The 20,593-nt window shown below is 48.5% G+C and overlaps 1 protein-coding gene, 1 long non-coding RNA gene and 1 further gene across 13 annotated transcripts, besides 4 other annotated features; 2 read left to right on the forward strand and 1 right to left on the reverse strand.

The window, feature by feature from the left end:
• The window catches only part of IGL (immunoglobulin lambda locus), an 896,838-nt gene that overhangs the window by 520,512 nt on the left and 355,733 nt on the right, over positions 1–20,593 (forward strand).
• Positions 1,114–12,678, reverse strand: PRAME (PRAME nuclear receptor transcriptional regulator). Of its 12 annotated transcripts, none has more exons than NM_206954.3 (6): positions 12,588–12,678; positions 10,958–10,993; positions 10,225–10,322; positions 4,180–4,502; positions 3,139–3,747; positions 1,114–2,056 (listed from the first exon to the last, which is right to left on the reverse strand). In NM_206954.3, the coding sequence occupies exons 3-6, from the start codon at positions 10,243–10,245 to the stop codon at positions 1,480–1,482; spliced, it is 1,530 nt and encodes a 509-aa protein (NP_996837.1). In that variant the 5' UTR covers positions 10,246–10,322; positions 10,958–10,993; positions 12,588–12,678; the 3' UTR covers positions 1,114–1,479. The 12 variants fall into 12 exon arrangements, with proteins under 12 accessions (NP_996837.1, NP_006106.1, NP_996839.1 ...); NM_006115.5 differs by having other exon boundaries at positions 10,225–10,343; NM_206956.3 differs by having other exon boundaries at positions 12,384–12,678.
• Positions 7,577–7,774: a silencer, noted in NCBI's record as "fragment chr22:22896585-22896782 (GRCh37/hg19 assembly coordinates)". NCBI's record gives its function as "represses an EF-1alpha promoter that drives an FKBP-Casp9 reporter gene in an ReSE screen in K562 erythroleukemia cells {active_cell/tissue: K562}" and the evidence as "EXISTENCE:reporter gene assay evidence [ECO:0000049][PMID:32094911]".
• Positions 12,575–12,872: an enhancer blocking element, noted in NCBI's record as "candidate insulator 22-2; strong CTCF association in K562 cells". NCBI's record gives its function as "blocks activity of the beta-globin HS2 enhancer when located between the enhancer and the Agamma-globin gene promoter in a lentiviral reporter assay in K562 erythroleukemia cells {active_cell/tissue: K562}" and the evidence as "EXISTENCE:reporter gene assay evidence [ECO:0000049][PMID:24098520]".
• Positions 12,575–12,889: a biological region, named in NCBI's record as "IGL region enhancer-blocking element 22-2".
• Positions 12,595–12,889: an enhancer, noted in NCBI's record as "tiled region #1631; HepG2 Activating DNase unmatched - State 4:PromP, and K562 Activating DNase unmatched - State 1:Tss". NCBI's record gives its function as "activates a minimal TATA promoter and a strong SV40 promoter by Sharpr-MPRA in HepG2 and K562 cells {active_cell/tissue: HepG2 | K562}" and the evidence as "EXISTENCE:reporter gene assay evidence [ECO:0000049][PMID:27701403]".
• LL22NC03-63E9.3 (uncharacterized LOC648691) lies at positions 12,756–20,012 on the forward strand. Its single transcript, NR_027426.2, has 3 exons — positions 12,756–12,820; positions 16,276–16,385; positions 17,080–20,012. It is a non-coding gene; the product is annotated as an uncharacterized LOC648691 (long non-coding RNA).

Here is a 20,593-nt window from a genome sequence, read left to right on the forward strand (position 1 = left end):
GCTGACAGTCTGCAATGCCAGCAGCCTCATGGGTGGTTATCACCAGGACAGAGGCCTCAGAACAGGCAGGACTGGGTGTGCTGGCACTCACGGCTACGTGCAGATAGAGCCCGCCCCTGGGCCTTGGTGTGTGACCTTCTTCCCAGGTGCTTCTTTGGGAAGCTGTACAGTGAGGGAGATGAGGCAGACTAAGGGCAGGACACACTAGCATAGGAGCGGTGGCAGCTAAGTAGGCTGACTGCCCAGGGATTGCAGAGTTCACCTGCACAGTATGACATCTCTCATCCTTTTGGATAGATTGTTCTATAAGGTGGCCTCCACCTACCCCCAACTCCCAAATCTGACATTCATTCATCTACTTCCCCTGAAGTGCTCCCTAGCACTTGCCATGAGTTTGTTCACTCTTGGGACCCCAAATCCAAGGCATCTCACTGGCTGAGATTCAGTTTACCACCTCATTGATGGGGGGACTCTTATGTCACAGAAGTAATTTTCTCACTGATAGGACCCAAGATGTCATCCTATTTTTAATGTGGGTACAAATACTAAGTAAATATGATCTTAGTGTTTTGCCAAAAGGAATTAAGATGTTTTTAATGGGTCACAAATTCAGAAAGGGGTTGGACCTGGTGGGACAGGTTGGTGAGGCCCAGACGCTCCACTTCAAGTGCAGTACTGGACATCCCCTTCCAGTACGGGAGGTCTGACTTGTGCAGTCAAGCCCAATACTGGCACAGCCACAGGCCAGGGATGGAGGCTTATGAGTCCACTGGAAAACAGGGAGGACTGAGTCCAGGGTCTCAAGGGTTTAGTAGTGAGGGCTCCTGTGAGGAACCCTTCACTCAGTGGTGTTCATTACCGGCCCCTTCCTTAGTATGTTCCAGGCCCTGAGAATGTACCTTGCATGCTCTGACCCTTTGAACACCAAAGAAATAAGCAAGGAGGTAACAGATGCCCCAAAGAGATGAATGGTGTCATGAGATCTGGGGGCTGGGACCTTGTCCAGCCTAAAGGTGTAAGTACCATGGATGAGCAGTGTCTTATTTAATCAGCAACTAGAGATTTCCTGAGGTTTAACTGGGAAAGCAGGTTCATATACTACAAGACACCAGGTGCTTCACATTGCTTCTCTTTATTTTCAACAGTTTCTTTACAACAGTCTACACAGGGATTAACTCCTACATGTACTTCCCAAGCCAGAATCTCCCTTTAGAAATTCAGATTCTATTTCTAACTCTATAAGATGTATCTCCCCAAAGATCACATTAACTCCTCAAGTCAACATCTGCCTACCCCCAACTTCCCCTTTTTTTCCTCACTGAACATTTGTCTGAATGTTTTTTCCTCACTGAACATGTTTTCCTCACTCACACTGAACATTTGTCTGAAACTGTGGCTGCTTTGTTGCTTCAAGATGCATGCACATCCTGGCTTTAGTGTCCAAGTATGCAGAATGAAGCATTTGATATGTGCACCCAGCTAATTAGGCATGAAACAGGGGCACAGGATGGGCTCCGGGTCATAGAAGGTTCTGTCCCCACAGTGAGGACAGGGGTTGGCACTAAGCCAGACCATGCTGGGCCGCCCCAACTCACACAGCAACTCCCTGAGCCTGGCATGCAGATAGGCAAGCCTCTCCAGGTGGAGGGTACCATGGATGTCCTCATAACTCTCCAGGGGGACAGGATACAGCACGTGGGTCAGATTGCTCAGCCCGATGAGGTGCTGCAGGAGACTCTGCAGGGCAGATATGGAGATGGAATTCCCGTAGAAGCTTAAGGTCGTAAGCTGGGAGCAGTGGCTCAGGGAAGGCAGGAGGGCAAGGAGCTGATCATCCGTGATCCCACACTCATCAAAGACCAGGTCCTGGAGGGTGGCAGAGGCTCTCTCCAGCAGAGCTTGGAGGGGCTCGGGACTTACATCGGTCAGCATGACCCCACTTAGACTCAGGACACTTAGCTGACTGACGCTGGGACTCTGGGACAGATGCATCACATCCCCTTCCGAAAGCCGGCAGTTAGTTATTGAGAGGGTTTCCAAGGGGTTCATCACGTGCCTGCAAATAGACAAAGCAGTTAGTGCTGGGGAATGGTGGTAGTGGGGTGGGGAGACTGGAGAGAGGCCCATTTCACCAAAACCCAAAGTCTTCCTGATGATGGTTAACCGCCAGGATGCCATGCTGTAACGGAGCATTCAAGGAGTACAAGTTCAGGTTTAGTCCTTTCTCCATCATTTGCTGTGTAAGTGGGTCAAGTAAACAAAGATCTCAAACACTCCCTTGGCTCATCTGTGAGGCAGGGTCCAACACAGACCTCTTAGGTGGTGTGAGCATGAATTGAATTGAGAGCCTGATTTGATGTCTCAAGCAAGGAAAGGCATCAGTGAATTTTAGTATTTGAAGATACAACTGAAAATACTTTCTTTCAACTCGGGCTTCCTTCTGCCACTGCCTGGGCCCCAGTCACCTCTATCTCTGTGCCTGATGAAGCTACTAGGGAGTATTCACAGTGGACAAACTGGGGCAAGGTCAGCAACATCCAAAGGGGGTTCCCAGGCTGCAGGGCTACCTTAGGTCACTGTATCATCAGCAAACCACCTATCAATTTTTGCAATTTCTCTGTTGTTCCTTCTCCCACATCTCCAGAATCCTGCATTTCCCACCTATTACCCTAACTGGAATTCTAAATCACCCTTTACAGACAGGAAATTTGAGGCAGGTTTAGAGGGAGCAGCTCATGTTGAGAAGCTGGTGAGCGCACAGCTTACAATTTCAAATCTCACCTTTGATGGGCTTTCCCTTCTTCAATGCCCTCCTTGCTTACTTTTGATCATCTTAGGCATCACTTCCTAAGGAAGAATGCCTAAAGCCACCCTTGCCAGGCCCCAACCTCCCATTACAGAGTTTTCTAACAAGGAGTCACTGTTAATAGCATCTATCCTAATGTATACCTCTAACCCTTATGAGTAGTAGTTATGTGATACCATGCTTGGGGACAGTGGTGAACAAGACGTGTTAACTGGTAGTGACTTGCTCACTCTTGCATTATTGGTGGCTGGCACATACAAGATATCCTTTATTGTTTACTGCAATAAGGAAGGGCTTGCTCTGGTCTGCAGAGAAATCTCACCATCCCTCACCTGAGCAACTGATCCAGGCGGCCTCTAAGGAAAAATAAAGAGTCCACATAGAGAGCCTGCAGGCACTGCAGACTGAGGAACTGAGAGGTGAACTGGGCGATATACTGCTCTTCCTTCTCCGGGGAAATGTAGGAAGATGCATGGATGTGGGAGAGGAGGAGTCTACGCAGATTAATCATCTGGCCCAGGTAAGGAGAAAATTTCGCCAAGGTGGGTAGCTTCCAGGTACAAGTCACTTCCAAATCTTCAATAGAGTCCAGCTGCACCATTTTCAGGATCATCTTGATATCCTGCATGGGCATTGCAAAAATCTTCAGCTTCTTACAGCACAGGCGTAGTACATTTTTCTTTCGCTTCACTTTCTCAATGAGGTAGGAGAACAATTCATCACAGGCACCTTCCTTGAGGAACAGGTCTACGAGCACCTCTACTGGAATGAAGGGCTGCTCTGCCTCTGTGCTCAAACCATCTACTTTTCGCTTCTTTGTCATGGGCTGAGCTGCTTCTGGCTCTGGAAATGAGTACAGACTGGCCCTGTTTCCAGACCATACAGTCCAGAAGTCCTGATGAGAGTTCTTCCGTAAATCCAGCACTTGAAGTTTCCACCTCCTGTGGGGAAAAACAGGTAATTAGCTGAGATGATGCTTTAAGATCAACTCAAAATAAGACCATGAGTCTCATAATGTAGGTAAGAACCAAACAGACATCCACCTTAGATCTGCACTTTTACTTCGTACTTCAGGCATCAGCTGCTCCCTTTCCCACTAGGATCCTGGGATCCTTCCTGGTCCCCAATTCCCACCCCACCAGGAGGAAGCAGGTGCATGTTCCTTCAGACACCTCTGCATTTTAATCAGTGCCCCATGTCCAGAAGCCCATTCCAAGAGTGACCCCTGCAGTAGCCCCAAGGCCTCCCTGAACTTCCTTGCTGGCAACCATCAGAGCCTCTGGCCCAGCCTTAGGCGCTCCATGCTCCCTGACCCCAGCTGCATCCTGCTCAGGTTCCCAGGGCCCCACACCAAGCTGCTAGGTCACCCTTACCTGGGGCGAACCTCCTGGGCAAGGAGCACATCAAGTCCATCAAGCACAGCTTTGAAGGTCTCCAGGTGAAGATGTTGTCCCTTCATCAGCACTCCCAGAGGGAGGCAGGTGAAGGGCCAGGCCTGCACCATTGCCTTCAGGGTCTGGCTGTGTCTCCCGTCAAAGGCTGCCATGAAGAGTGGCGGGAAGAGCTCCCTGGGCAGCAACTCCAGGGCGGCAATGGCCAGGGCCTCATCCTTCAGCAGGCTCTGCCCTGCCAGCTCCACAAGTCTCCGTGGGCTTGTCCACACACTCATGCTGATGTATCGGCTCTGAATGGAACCCTGAGGAAACATACAGGGAACAAGGCATCCCTTTCAGCCCAAGCATAAGCAACTCTATCTTTTCCTCACCCTTCTGAGGGACCAACTTAGGGCCAAAGTCACTGTGCTAGCAACAGCAGGGGAGTTCTCAGTTTACCCCGATTCCACTCTGCACTCGGTGGCCACAAAGCCACAGCTCTGCTGGCACCAGGATGAACATCTCATCAAGTGTAGAGGAGGGGACAGGACGGCCACTGGCACCATCTTGTATCTACCCACTACTCTATTTAATTCTAGTCCCCCTGGGAAGTGAGAACTAAGGAGCCTGAGGGCTGACCCTGCTCATTTTGGGAAAAAGTTTCTGATGATCACTCAAAGGCAATTCAAATGGGAGTGTCACATAGCCCAGGACAGCATCCTTCTCTGCTCCAACAAATAAGCCAGATGGGAAAGATGAGGAACACACACACAATGCACAATGGATGCCATTATGTTTCACTAAAAAATTTTAAATGAGAAACTACAGAAGCAGCACAACAGTATTACATAGCAATTGGAAGTACAATAAAAAAAAAACATTCTGAGACATGTATTTTAAGTGCGTCTCTTTTACGTATATTAAGAGTTACTACTTTGACATGGAAATCAGCGGAGCAAACACTTCACAGTAAAACAAAGCCTGGTTCTTTTCTCCCAAAACATTAGTTTTAAAATGGAGAAATAAAAATTGTGTATATTTATGGTGTACAATATGATGCTCTGAAATATGTATACATTGTAGAATAGGTACCTTAAGCTAATTAACATACATATGATCTCACATATGTGTGGTGAGAACACTTGAAATATACTCTTAGCAATTTTCATGTATACAATACATTATTAACTACAGTTACCATCTTGTATACTAGATATCTTGAAAAAGCCTCCACCCTCCAGCACAGTGGCTCATGTCTGTAATCCCAGCATTTTGGGAGGCCAGGGTGGGAGAATGGTTTGAGCCCAGGAGTTCAAGACCAGCCTGGGCAACACAAGGAGACCTCATCTCTATTAAAAAAAAAAAAAAGAAAAAAAAGAAAGAAAATGTCTTTAATTCCAAAGCATCTGAAAAGAAAAAGAAAAAAATCTATGGAATATTTTTTAACCTTTTAGTTAAAATGGAATATTTTTTAACCTTGTAGTTAAAATGGAATATTTTTTAACCTTGTAGTTAAAAAAAAGCCTAACTAGTAAATCACTGATTTAAAAAATCATAAATGATGCAAATTATAATTGCTTGCCACATACTATTTAAATTGTAATAAAGTAAAATTCAAAGTAGATGTCTTTTATTTTCCAAAAAAAAAAAAAAAAGCCGTTTAAGAAATTATTTTTAACATATACAAAATGGCAGAAATCAAAATGTTTGGGATTCAATATAAATAATAAATGTTCCAGGTAATGGTTATACTAATTACCATAATTTGATCATTACATACTATATATGCATAAACTGAAATTTCACATGTACCCTATAAATATGTACAATTATTGTGTATCAATTAAGAAATCAATCCAATAACCAAATAAAAATGTTTGGGATTAAGGCAAAACTACATTTAGAGACAAGAACAAAGCCTGTTCCTTTGTAAGGAAAGAAAAAGGAAAACCATCTAAGCAGCATTGGCCCTCATGGCCCGTGGAGACCCTGAGGTGACAGTAGAAGGAGGCAGTGGCCATAGCCTGAGGCTCCCGACTCACCAGACCCAGCTGTGGTGCAGAAGCCATCTGCCCAGACCTCTGGGAAGACCACAACATTGACTCCATGGCCTCTGGGTCCCTCCTCTGGCCCCTCTGAAGCTATTACAGGCCTTTCTGGGCATACCTCCCCTTTCAACTCCACGCTGCCAACGGAAGAGCCAAATCTAATTACATTCCTGGATCTCCAGCCAGTGAATCCTGATGGGGTTTTTTACTTACTTCAGGTTCAACTGATTGAATGGGATGTCTATTTACAAAAAGGAAAGAAAAAGTGAACAAAACCACCCAGAGAGTATAACTGTTAGGGGAATTTTTGGCCACATCAAAATTACCCAAATAGTCCAGTTAAGATAGCTTTATGAAGAGCATCATGACATCACCCCTTCCCACTCCCAAACAATCCCCAAGTATCAAATTGTCACTTATACCCCATGTTCCCTAACACAGCAAATCACATGCCTATCCAAGGAAAAAGGGAGGAACAACAGAGGGGTGGCTGGTCTTCCAGACTTTGAAAGTCAAGGCTGTCCTGAAGGAAGGTGGGTCAAAATTACACTACAATTAGGAGTTAGTCAGAAGTAAGGCTGGGCATTTGTAATGGGACTGAGTGGATTACCACAAAGACAGATAGGTTTTTTTGGGGGCGGAATTGAAAGACTTTGGCCTGGATGGAGTAGAGAAATTAAAAAGGGGAATGGCTAAGGAAGATGAAAGATAGTTCCAGTAAAGCCAAGGTAATCACTGAGGCAGGGAGGGAGTTCAATCTTCCTCCCTCCCTAGAGGGAAAGGGTGTTTTCTCCCAGAAAGTCAGGATCCTCTTGGCAAACAGCCTTGACAAGATTAAATCTAGGAATGTGGGCTGGAGAGGTGGGATAGAGAGTAATATTGGTGACCAAACCTAGGACAGCAACATTTTCAAGTCTGAAAGACCTTGTGGTTTCTTAGGAATCTTGGAGCCAGGAAAGAAATAAACAAGGGCTGAAAGCACACATCCCTGCAATTAAAGAAGTTGTCAGAAGACCTTCTCTTTATGGTTAGGTGTCCTCTTCCACACTGGGGCTGTTCACAAGCAGCAGGTCAGGCCTTTACCACAAACATAATCTCCAATGGCCAGCCCCTTCCTAAGTATTACTAATGTTTCCACACTTCAAGAAAACAGCTGTTCTTTCTTGCCCCTAAGCTGCTCAGGTACAGAGATTCTGGTCAGCGAGATGCAATCAGGCCTATCAATTAGACTCAGTTTTTCTCTATTTCCATGCTAGGCACAGTGCACAAATACATTTTCCGTCACAAAAAATTGAAGTTATATTTGGCATTTAAGGATCTGCTTAGGGATGATTCCTATCCTGGGCCTGATCACCCACTGGTGCTTTTGAAGTTTTGGAACCTCTCCACCCAAAGAATTCTCCAGGCCATTCTCTGCCTCATGCACTGTGAAGTCCCTACAATTCTTATATTCTACTGGCAAGTGTCCAGCTGGAATGTCTTGCGGCCTGACTTTGTTTACTGTGGCCTGCGTAAGGAGGCTGTAATTCGTTGAAGGATGTTTTCCATTTTGGTTCTCTCTCTGGAGACTTTCTCCTACTTTTCACCCTCAACACCTAATGGCCTTTGTGAAAACCGGGTTAAACTACAATTTGTTCTACATTTCCTTTAATTCCCAGGCAATCATCTTCACTCATCAGCTGCGGGAGACTGAGATTAGTAATAAAGGTCATTGTCAATGTCCCTAATTATCAAGCAGCTACTGGGCACAGCAAAGGCCGCAGCAGCTCTCATTCATTACCTCAAATAGCCTTCACAGAGAATCTAAAGTTCACTGTCATTTTCATTTTTAGTCTTGTAAGTCCCTGACTCTGTCTGGGGAAGAACCTGCTCAGCTCCAAGCAAGCAGGAATTGGTAGCCCTTATGTGAGGAGTTTAGAAAGAGTTTCATTTCCCTCCCTATCAAACAATCTAAGTGTTAGAAAGGGCTGATAAGCTTCACATAAACCATGGAAAAACAGGAAAACTGAGTAAGTCCAACAGTTAGGGAAGCTTCCATGGGATCCCCGCTTCCAGGAGATCCAAGGGAGGAGGAGGAACCGCGATCAAGTGTGAGTTGTGTAATCTCTGAGCTGTGCAATCTCCCTGTGAGGCAGTGACACTCCTCTGTCCAGCTTCACACTGCCAGTTTGTCCAGTGGCACTGGAGGAAGCAGCACCAGGGGCACATTTGCACAAAGGTGCTGTCCTTCCTCCCAGTATAAGGGAGAAGTGAAAAGACTGGGGCCCAGCATGACTCCTAGGGTCCAGACATGAATTGGGGAGATATTTCTGCATGTCCTGTCTACTGGTTCTTATGGTCCTTGTGGGCTGCACAGGCCAGAGTGGCCTCTGAGCTCATCAGGTGGGTGGTCTGCACCCTCCTCTCTAGTCATAGAATCCCAGTGGGGACCCCCGAAGTATCTGCACCAGGTCCTTCAGGTGTTTTTTTTGGAGTGCAGTGGCGCAATCTTGGCTCACTGCAACCTCTGCCTCCTGGGTTCAAACGATTCTCCTGCCTCAGCCTCCCAAGTAGCTAGGATTACAAGCACACGCCCCCACACACGGCTATATTTTTGTATTTTTAGTAGAGATGGGGTTTCACCATGTTGGCCAGGCTGGTCTCAAACTCCTGACCTCAAGTGATCTGCCTGTCTAGGCCTCCCAAAGTGTTGAGATTACAAGAGTGAGCCACCATGCCCAGCCTCTTTTTCTTTTTTAGAGACAGGGTCTTACTATGTTTCCCAGACTGGTCTTGAACTCCTGGGCTCAAGTGATCCACCCATTTCAGCCTCCCAAAGTGCTGGGATTACAGGCTTGTGGATACCAACAGCACCCGAGCACGGTCCCACAGTCCAACGCACTGTGCCGTCCTTGAGCCTTTAGTTCCAGCACAAGTCTCCCGGCTTCAACCCAGGTTGCATGTTCTCCCTGATCTCCCCAGGTGGCACCCAAGGATGAGGCAGTGCAATCTTGTTGCTCACTTCCCAGGACCGACACTTACCCCTAATGGCCCAAGCCCATGGGGCAGTGAGATCAAAGCCTCCTGGAGCTCATACTCTCTGACACCACTGGAAGTGTGGGCTTTTGCGTCTGATTACCCCGGGGAAAGGTTCTGAATGTAATCGTGGCTTTGGCAATAAGGTCCACAATGCATTAAGATTTTTTTTTTTTTTTTGGAGGAGGAGTTTCACTCTTGTTGCCCAGGCTAGAGTGCACTGGCACCATCTTGGCTCACTGCAACCTCCACCTCCTGGGTTCAAGCGATTCTCCTGCTCCTGTCTCAGCCTCCCAAGTAGCTGGGACTACAGATGTGGGCCACCACGCCCAGCTAATTTTTTTTCTATTTTTAGTAAAGACAGGATTTCACCATTTTGGCCAGGCTAGTCTCGAACTCCTGACCTCAGGTGATCTGCCCACCTCGGCCTCCCATGGTACTGGGATTGGGATTACATGCATGAGCCACCATGCCTGGCCTAGGGTTAATTTTTATTTTTGGAGACGGAGTCTCGCTCTGTCGCCAGGCTGGAGTGCAGTGGCATGATCTTGGCTTACTGCAACCTTCGCCTCCTGGGTTCAAGCGATTCTCCTGCCTCAGCCACTTGAGTAGCTGGGACTACAGGTGCATGCCACCACGCCCGGCTAACTTTCTGTACTTTTAGTAGACGCGGGGTTTCACAGTGTTAGCCAGGAATGGTCTCAATCTCCTGACCTGGTGATCCGCCCGCCTCAGCCTCCCAAAGTGCTGGGATTACAGGCATGAGCCACCGTGCCCGACCCTAGGGTTGACTCTCATACAAAGACAGCACGGGAAGTGAAATGCTCTTTTGTGGAAATGACCAGAAACAATAAAAGCGGCTCCTGCCTCTTCGTCTACTGTGAGGGACCTCAGGATGCAGCTCCCATCTGGCTCGAGTGACAAGGACAGAGGGGAACAGGGCTTCTCTGAGCACCTCAGACAGCTCAGGGGACCTTCTTACCCACAAACGCCTTCGTTCCATTTTGAAGCGACTTAGGCTGGCCTCAGGACCTCCAACGCTTGGATTTCTAGGTCTCAGTCACTTGTTGCCACGCACGTCTGAGAGTAATAATCAAAATGCTCCAAAAAGAAGAATACATGTATAATATTTACGAAGCAACGGCCTCCTGTGAAAACCTCCGCAAATACTGCTGAGGAAACTGACAACTGGCGACTCAATCCCGCCCTTTCAGTGCAAATCTCTGGCTCCAAACCTGAGCACCAGTGTTTCCTGGGCTGAACCAGGGGGCAGGAGGAACAACAGACCATGTGGTTGGTCACAAGTGACCCCTGTGGTCAAGGACCCTGACTACGGTCTTGCAGCGACATTTCTGCCTCTGCTCCCGCCTTCCTAGGACGCCTACGCCACTGCCTGGGCCGTCCCCAACCCCCAGCACCTTCAGAGGGGCCGAGTCCCAGAGCATCCACCGCATTACAAATGCGCACCCACCCTGGAGAGCTCCAACCACGAGCACCGCCGCCTCGGTTCAAGGCATCCTTACAGCCACAACTCCTCAACTGGGGCCAATTTTCCGGGGCAGGCGGCCCGGGGTGACCCAAGTGGCGCACATTATTTTCTTTGGTCTTCAACCCATTTCCAGAGAGAAAACAGGGACCCGGGACAGGGGTGGTGCTGGGGGCACAAGCCCAAGGTCACCCTGCGGGGAAGCGGAGGAATCAGGGCTCGAACTTACGTTTTTCCTCAGAGAGTTCACCACACCGCGAAGTTGCTGGAAGGAAAGAACGAGACAATGGCTCAGCTAAGCGCCCTAGCCGCTGCGTGGGGCGGGGGGGGCGGCGGTGGGGACCGGGGGGCTGGGCAGCCTGGTCTGACCAATCCCCGTTTCTCAGTCCTTCCAGGGCAAAATCTCACGAGATCCAGTGAGGTCGCCCAGAGAGTCGAGAGGGGCTTGTTTTCAAAGACTGGGAGGAGGAGGGGCAGTGGGGGAGGGGCAGTGGGGGGAGGAGCAGAGGAGAAGGGAGCAGGAGGAGGGGAAAAGGGGAGAGGAAGTTGGAGAGCAGAGGAGGCTGGGGGTGGGGAGGAGATGGGGGTGGGGAAGGAGGGGAGATGGGGGTGGGGAAGGGGGGGCGGGAGGAGGGTTAGGAATGGGGGAAGGAAGACAGGGTGGGGGAGGGGTGGGCATGGGGGAAGGAAGACAGGGTGGGGGAGGGGTGGGCATGGGGAAAGGGAGACAGGGTGGGGGAGGGGTGGGCATGGGGGAAGGGAGACAGGGTGGGGGAGGGGTGGGCATGCGGGAAGGGAGACAGGGTGGGGAACCGAGAAGAAAGACAGTGGGGGGGGATGGAGGAAGGAACACAGGGTGGGGTGGGGGGTCGGGATGGGGGAAGGGAAACAAAGAGTGGTGGAGGCGTGGGGATTAGGAACGGAGACAGAGGGTGGGGGAGGGGTGGGGTGGGGGAAGGGAGACAGGGTGGGGGAGGGGTGAGGATGGCGGAAGGTAGACAAGGCGGGGGAGGGGTGGGGATGGGGGAAGGGAGACAGAAGGGGGGGAGGGGTGGGGATGGGGGAAGGGAGACAGAAGGCGGGCCAGGGCGGGAATGGGGGAAGGGAAACAGGGTGGGGGTGGGGATGAGAGAAGACAGAGGTTGGGGGAGGGGTGGGGATGTGTAAGAAAAACAAAGGGTTGGGGAGGGGGAGGGAAAAGAGGCAGAGAGTGGGGGAGGGGGTGGGGATGTGGAAAGAAAGTCAGAAGGTGGGGGGTGAGGGGTGGGGATGGGTGAATACGTGATGGCTGCGGCCTTTCCCACCAGACAGTAGGGTGGGGGCAGGGTGGAAAAAGGGGGTGCGGTGGGCGAATGGAGAGGCAGTGGGGAGGCGGGGGGCTGACTGGGAGTGTGGGACGGGGTGTTCTGGGATCACGGAGACGTCCAAGTCTGGACTCTGTCCTGGGTCTGTGCTTCTGGCGACCTCCCTTTTCTTCAGTGGGATGCGGGGTGCAGGGGCCGGTTCCAGGGTCCCCTGAGCTCAAGTTCTCGCCCCACCCCGCCCCGCAAGTCTAGAAAAGATGCCCCTGGCCTTGGCTGGGTAATCTCTGGATTTACCTACTTCTGTAACCCCCCGGGCTGAAGAGACCACCCCCCGGGATTCAATTAACTTACTCTCTGGAGCGCGCGTTCCTCCCTGCTCCCGGGAGTCGGTTTCCCAGAACTTTCTGAGGCCCGCGCATGCTCCCCTCGACTCCCCGTGTTTCCACTCTCCACAGAAATCCACGCATTCACGCCCCTCCCCTCCCCCGAGCCTGCAGAGGACTCCGCCCTGCTTTCCCTACATTCAGGGCTGCTCCTTTTGTCGCCAATACAGACCTGTTGACAGGTCACGCCTGGGAAGCGGGTGGGGTGTCCCGGAGCGGTGCTGAGGCGCTGCAGGCCCGGCTTCTGGCTGCGGGGGAGCTGTACCCTGAAGCCTCGCCGGAACTCGCGTCTGGGGCCAGCAGGGGGCACTAGAGTCAACAGGGACTGTATGCAAAACCCACTTCCTCCCAGGCCCTCTAGGGGGATGGTCAGGCTTCTGCAGAGATGGGGAGGATCCTTTCCTGGTAAGGGGAGAGGGACGGGCTAGGAGCCAAGCGGAAGGACCCCGTGTTCAAGGCCCTTCAAGGGACGGGACAGGCGAGGAATCTCTTTGAGTCTTTTGAATTGTTTTATCAGTCAGGCCTGGGAAGTACTCCGCCTCCACAAACTCTGTTTTCCTGAAAGGGGTCGGGGGGGGGGACCCCAACATCTCCTGCCACAGGCTATGATGGGCATGGTGGCTAAGAGCAACAGGCCGCGTGGTGAGGCTGGCTTTTTGTGGCTCTGCCCTGCCATTCCCCGAGGCATCCCCATGCCAGTGAACAGAGCTGCGGGTTCCCAGCTGCACAGATGAATGCACGAACAAAACATAGGTCCATGCAAAGGAAGTCATTGCATTGATCCAGATTCGACCTGGGATTGTCGCATAAAACAGGGCTGATAAAAACCGTTGTGTTTTCACCTTCGAAACAGAGACTCAGCCTCCCCCTCTCTGCTTGAGGCATTCAGCAAAGGTTCGTCCTTGAGTGGCTGTGGATGCTCAAGGACTTACGATTTCTGACTTTATAAAGTTTAGGGTGAAAACAAAAAACAAAATAAGAAGACCATTGTTTTAAAGTGGCCGTTGTAGCTAATTATCTCAAGAAAGCAAACAGGCTGGTACTGAAAGTTACACAGGCGGGCGGCTCCCTGGGAGGGTTGCCCAGCTCTCCTTTTCTGAGACCTGAGCAGGGAGCAGCCAGAGGAGCTTGAAGGGATGGTGTTCAGGGCATGGGAACAGGCTGCACACATCTTCACGGAGTACGGTGCTTGTCCAGTTTGAGAAGGGAAAGAAACTGGGGCAGAGGGCTGATGAGAAGGCAGCAGATGGATAGTGCGGGATTGAAAAGGGGATCCATTTGAAGACTGGCCACCATTATTTATTTTCATCATCTGATTGCTGTTGCTCCATTGAGATCGATGCGTGGAGAACAAGTTGGGGAGTGGAACAAATGGCAGGGAGGGGAGAGAAGTGAGTGAACATGACCCTGGTCCAGCCTCATAGGACAGAGCGTGGTCATGAAGTCCACAGAGGAGGACAGGTAGGGAGGAATCATGGCATGGCCAGGTTGTAGGGCAAGAGGCAGAGAGGAGAGAGGATTGTGGAGGATGCCTGCGGAGTGCCGACTGTCAGTCGAGGCTGGTCCTTTATTTATTTATTTTTTTTTTTGAGACGGAGTCTCGCTCTTGCCCAGGCTGGAGTGCAGTGGCGCGATCTCGGCTCACTGCAAGCTCCGCCTCCCGGGTTCATGCCATTCTCTCGCCTCAGCCTCCCAAGTAGCTGGGACTACAGGTGCCCGCTACCATGCCTGGCTAATTTTTTTGTTTTTAATAGAGACAGGGTTTCACCGTGTTAGCCAGGATGGTCTTGATCTCCTGACCTCATGATCCGCCCACCTCGGCCTCCCAAAGTGCTGGGATTGCAGGCATCAGCCACTGTGCCTGGCCAAGGCTGGTCCTTTCTTTTATGGCGATGGGTGTTTGAAAGTTGCACATACCAAAATAAACTCACTATTTGTTGACCCAAAGTAAAACCCTGAGGGTATGAAAGGGAAGGGCTCATGCTTACATGGCTGAGATAAAAGCTGTCTCAGGAAGCTGGGTGTGGTGGCTCACCCCTGTAATCCCAGCACTTTGGGAGGCCAAGGTTGGAGGATCCCCTGAGGCCAGGAATTGAAGACTAGCCTGAGTGATATAGCAAGACCCCATCTATATTTTTAAAAAGGGTTGGCTGTCTCGGGACTTTTCGAAATAGCCCTGCAAGACATTCCTGTTTTGGAATCACAACAATTTAGATAAGATGCTTTTGAAAGAACACCTGCCTAGGCACAGCGTCTCCACCAATGAACTGATGCCAACTGTGGTTTTGAGTCTTCATAACCGGTGAACTGTTTGCAAGCAGCTTATTTAAATCTCTTTTTTTGCCAATACAACCTTCCCTTTGCCCTCCCCTCTTGAGATGCATATATGGCTTGCCATAGCTGAGCATCTTAGGTTATAATGCTTTTTCTCTTTTTTAATTTTTTTTTGTAAATTTATATTTATTTTTATATTTATTTATTTTTTGAGACAGGGTCTTGCTTTGTCACCCAGGCTGGAGTGTAGTGCATAATCGTAGTTCACCACTGCCTCCAACTCTCGGGCTCAAGCAGTCCTCCCACCTCAGCCTCCTGAGTAGCTAAGACAACAGGCATGCACCACCATGCCCAGCTAATTTATGTATTTACTTTATTAAAAATTTTTTTTTTTTGGTAGAGAGAGTCTCACTGTGTTTCCCAGGCTGGGCTTGAACTCCAGGCCTCAAGTGTTGCTCCCAACTCGACTTCCCAAAGTGCTGGGATTACAGGCATGAGCCACCATGCCCAGCGTATAATTTTGTATTCTAATTCCTGAATAAATTCAACAAATTTGGAGGTGTTTTTTGTCTGATGGTTCCTTTTGGTCGACAACTGGAATGGGAGAGGAACAGTGTGAGGGCAAACATCAAGTGCTTTGCTGAGCTCCGGGTGCTTTTTTTGGATAAGACACAGAAAATACAATAAGATGTCTGTAATGTTTGATTTTTTTCCAGGTTTCTTGAGGTATAATTGACAAATAAAAATTGTATGGATTCAAGGTGTACAATTCATATACATTGATCCACATATACCTTGTTTGATGATTAATCAAATTAGTTAACACATCTTTCACCCCAGCAGTCAATGTGTGTGTGCTCTGTTAGCAAATTTCAATTAATAATATAGCATTATTAACTATAGTTACTATGCTGTATATTAGAGTCTCAGGATTTACCATCTTATAACTAAAATTTTGTAGCCTTTGACCAACATCTCTCATTCCTCCCACCCACAGCCCCTGGGAACTACCATTCTACTCTGCCTCTATGAGTTCCACTTTTTGTGTTTCTTTTTTCCCTTTCCTTTAATTTTTTTTGTATTTGTTATATTACCAAACCATGTCAAAAGAGTTCCACTTTTTAGATTCCACATATTATTAGCTCGTACAGTATTTGTCTTTCTGCATCTGGCTTATTTCACTTAACATAATTTCCTCCAGGTTCATTCGTATTGTTGCAAATGGCAAGATTCCCTTCTTTTTTATGACTGATGATGTCTGTCTGCAATATTTGAAAAAAAAATGCAGATCACGTGAATGATTGTCTAATGTAATTCTATTCATGTAAAATTGTGTATGACCATAACAGTCACTCATTCATTGCTTCGAGTTCTTTACAATCGGATGCCATATTCCTGGGGCTCTGCTAGGCCTGAAATGGGGAGTAGGAGTTACAAGGTTCCTGGGATATCAGTAATTCATATTTGTGAATGTCTTAGATAAGTGGGCTAACATGTACAGAAAATGGTCACTAAAATGATAACACTGTTTGTTATAAAATACTTTTCTGTATTCTCTTGAACTTTTTTTTTTTATCATTTATTAGACTGCTTCAGCTGCCATAACAAAATATCACAGACTGGATGGATTAAACAACAAAAATTTATTTCTCACAGTTCTGGAGGCTGGGAAGTCCAAGATCAAGGTGTCAGCAAGGTGGGTGTCATTCTGAGGCATCTTCTCTTAGCTTATAGGCTGAGGCCATTTTGCGTTGTGCTCACGTGACCCCTTTGTGCGCATGTGTGGAGAGAGAGCATGGGTGCTTCTTCTTATAAGGATGCTGAAAGTTATGAGAACCCGACCCTTGTGACTTCACTTAATCTTAATTACTTCCTTAGAGGCCCCATCTCCATATACAGCCACAATGGGGATTAGGGCTTCAACATATGAATTTGTGGTGGGGGGACGCAAACACTCAGTTCATAAACATATGATTTTTTTTTCCTTGATCGGCAATGAAAATAGAGGTATCTTCATTTTGGAAAGTGAGAGTCAACCTGTGCTGAATTAGAGTGATGACAAGAGATACTTTAAGACTGCAATGAGGGAAGCAAGGGACGGGGACGCATTTGACAGTCTGTTCTGCTCTGCTCCTGGAAGTGAGAGAGGCTGAGTCGGGACTAACCTTTGCACGGATGAGATAGAGAACTGAGAGAGAAAAGTATGTATTTTTCTATGACCACCTAAAATAAACCTGGAGTTGAAGGGACCAGCACTCTCAACCTAACCATTCTGGGAATAAAAATCATAGAGACCTCGCTGATTAATGGAAACAATTTGCCTTTCGATTTTCTAAGCAGGTGAATGCAAGGAGTTTGTGAACTTTACTGCTGTTTTCGTGTTTTTTTAGGTGAAGACACTGACAGTAAGAAAAGGCAAACCACAGGTCCAAGACAAAGTGGTCAAGTCAAGAAGGAACTCAGGCTGTGTAGTCCTGGTGCAAGGCTCCTTGCCCCCAGCGTGGGGTCACACTGGCTGGCTGTGCTCCCACGACACTTAGTGCATACTGGGCTCCTGACTTAATAACACGTGTTTGAAATGGCCCCTGATTCCCAATCTGCTGCAGGATTCTGCAGATGCGCAACAGGCCACAGTGGAAGGTCTTGGAGAGAATTCAGAGTGGCTTGCCTACGTTCCCATGACCGTTTGTCTTAATGGGAGAATCACCATTTTGGAAAATTCTTTTGGAGGCCAGGCGCGGTGGCTCATGCCTGTAATTTCAGCACTTTGGGAGGCTGAGGCAGGCAGATCACCTGAGGTCAGAAGTTCGAGACCAGCCTGGGCAACATAGTGAAACCCCATCTCTACTAAAAATACAAAACTTAGCCTGGCATGGTGGTGCACACCTGTAGTCCCAGCTACCCGGGAGGCTGAGGCAAGAGAATCGCTTGAACCTGGGAGGCAGAGATTGCAGTGAGCCAAGATTGCACCACTGCACTCCAGTCTGGGCAACAGAGTGAGACTCTGTCTTAAAAAAAAATTCTTTTGGGGCTAGCTGTGAATGAGCTCAGAGGGAAAGGCAGGAGCCTTCAGGTAGGGAGCAGCATGATTCCACCCCAGATTCAGGCCTCCTGGGTGTACAGAGGGCAGGAGGATCCTCCCCAGGTATGTGAGAGGAAGGGAAGATGAGGTGTTTGGGTCAGTGAACACACTAGAAATCCAGGTGCTCACTGATGGATTGTGCTTGGCATCTCTGTTCTGCCAATCCAGCCTCAAAGCAACTTTGGAAGAGGATTTATGCGCTTCACACGCTTCCAGCTTGGGCCAGAGCATCTGCACACTCCCCTGGGTATAGGCCTCCAGGGCTTGGAGCAACGGAAGAGCTAAGAATTGTCAGTGCTCAGGAGGCAGATTTTCAGGGAGGATCCTCTTGCATCTCAGGACATGGAAAGGGCTAACAGAGCCTTAAGTGTCCTGTCCCAGTGCTGGGGTCTCAGAAGGCAGCTCTGGGGCATCTCCACCATGGTCTGACTTCTGCTGCTTGAAACCATTCTCCCTCACGGCACAGGCAAGAGTCCTCAAGGAAGAGCACCTGGGCACCTGGGTTGACTCTTCCTCTCTCCAGGTGGAGAGAACCAGTAGAGTTTACCTGGGGTCATGCTCTGAGTTAATCCCCCTCTGCATTTCTTTCTCTTCTCAGGGGCCTGGGCTCAGCCTTGACTCAGCCTTCCTCAGTGTCTGGGACTTGGGGTAAACAGTCACCATCTTCTGCACTGGAAGCAGCAGTGACATTGAGGGTTCTAACCATATCTCTTCGTACCTACAGTGCCCAGGAACTGGCCCCACACTCCTCATTTATTATGTCCATTCTCAACCCTTAGGGGGTCCCAGCTTGATTTTCAGTCTCTAGGTCTGGCAACACGGCCTTCCTGGCCGTCTTTGGCCTCTAGCCTGAAGATGGGCCTGACAGTCACTGTTTGTTCTGGGACAACCATAGCATTTTTACCCACATGTGCTCCAAGTCCACGGGGAACAGAGACCAAATCTGCCATGAGTGACCAGTGTCACAGGGCTTCACACCAGTCAGGCAGTCAGATGGTGGTGTTTGCTTTCATTTCTGCTCATCATCCCAAGGGGGTGGACGCTTCAGGAATGGGACCCTATGCAACTCTCATTGCTCTTTATAATGATGTGGGAAAGAGAAACCATCTCCCAGGGGACTTGGCTTTGCAAAAATGAAAATAAAAGCTCCCTCCTCCCTCTGTGCAGTGAATGGCCTCTGAATGCAGACTTGGTCTCCCTCTTCAGTGGCAAGGTTGGAGGAAGAACAACAGCTTCTTATTGCACTGAGACAACTCAGGGGCCACCTCATTTGAAGATGTGCATCAGTGTGAGCCCAGGTATTCCTGTACTCAATGATCGAGGTCTCTCTCCTTACCTTGTCTCCACCTGGATCTGACCAAAGTGACTGAGATGATCCAGGTTCTAGTTTTCTCTTGCTGTGTAACAAATTTCTGCAAACCTAGCACCTTAAAATAACACCCATTTATGATCTCCCAGTTTTCCTGGATCAGGAGTCTGGGATCAGCTTAGCTGAGTCATCTGTTCAGGGTCTTCCCAACCTGAAATCAGGGCATTGGCTTGGCTGTGTTTTCATCTGGAGGCTCAACTGAGGAAGATTCTGTTTCCAAACTTACTGGCAGAACTCACTTCCTTGCTGCTATATGACTGAAGCCAAGGTTTTGGGGGGCTATTTGCTGTCAGTGCCCGAAGCTCCTAGAGTTCCTAGAGGTCACCCATAGCTCTTTTGCCATTTAATGTAACCTAATGAAAAGAGAGATATTCCATCACCTTTGCCATATTTATTGGTTAGAAGCAAATCACAGGTTCTTCTTGAATTCAAGTGAAGAGATTGTGCAAGGGTATGACTCATTTGGGGTCACCATAGGGTACATCCTCAGTAATTGTGTGCAGTCAGGACTAGGGGAGGAGATTCTAATTATACAGAGAAGACTTGTGCCTTCTATTCAGAAGTTAAGAAGACATCCTTTACTTTTTAAGACACTCTGTCATTTTATTCATTGATTTTTAGTGGTGTTCTAGAAAGCAGATTTTCCAAGCGTAAAGCACAATAATGAAATGGCAGAGCTGATGACAGTTCAGATGCTATTAGATGGGTGTGCAGATCTAGGTTTAGAGCCAAGGGATGGAGTAGTGTCTCTTGGTCTCCACTGTGGAGAGGCCCCTTGGGAAAACCCACCACCCCCATTTCTCCTCACTCCCTGCCTGGACCCATGGTCTCTGCTTGGTCTGGCCTATGCTATTAAAAATATACTTCAATGATGATACTTATGTCTTGTGTTTCTCTACACTCTTTGTCTATTTGCAGTGGACAGCACACTGCATGCTGATATCAAAAATTATTCCAGCAAATTCAAAAATAAGACAGTAAAAAGAAATAAAAGACAGTTTTACAATGGAAGAGACAGAAATGAATAGTTGCACTTATGGTTGATTTAGCTGTTAAATCTAAGAGAACCAACTGCGAATGAGTAGAGAAAGCGGTCGTTGCTGCATACTGACCATTACTAGTGTGAGATACTGGGGGAGCTAGGATGGCCTCCTCTTCCTCTTCCTTCTCTTGCCTCTCCTCTTCTTTCTTTTTTGGTAAATATCTTTCCTAGATCAGCGGTTCTCAAAACTTTCGGTCTCATGACCTAATCACCTCCCAGAGGCCCTACCTCCAAATACCATCACATTAGGGGTTAGGTTTCAACATATGAATTTTGGGGGGACACGAATATTTAGTCTAGAATGCTTTTTCAAGAAAAGGAGGACAGAAAGATCATACTACAGTGGCTTTTAAAAATTAGATATGGACAGCTTTTGTTTCTGGAATATGTCAGTGTGCTGTTGTGCAAAGC

The sequence above is a fragment of the Homo sapiens genome, chromosome 22 (genome assembly GCF_000001405.40).
Source record: "Homo sapiens chromosome 22, GRCh38.p14 Primary Assembly".
Classification (NCBI taxonomy): domain Eukaryota; kingdom Metazoa; phylum Chordata; class Mammalia; order Primates; family Hominidae; genus Homo; species Homo sapiens.

What these genes read in the sequence shown, in the direction of transcription:
- PRAME (NM_206954.3), bottom strand. Translation starts at nt 10,245, where the DNA reads ATGGAACGAAGGCGTTTGTGG. An exon ending in TGGAACGAAGGCGTTTGTGG is followed by an intron (nt 4,503 to 10,224) that starts GTAAGAAGGTCC and finishes ATGTTTCCTCAG; the next exon opens with GGTTCCATTCAGAGCCGATA. An exon ending in GCCCAGGAGGTTCGCCCCAG is followed by an intron (nt 3,748 to 4,179) that starts GTAAGGGTGACC and finishes TTTTCCCCACAG; the next exon opens with GAGGTGGAAACTTCAAGTGC.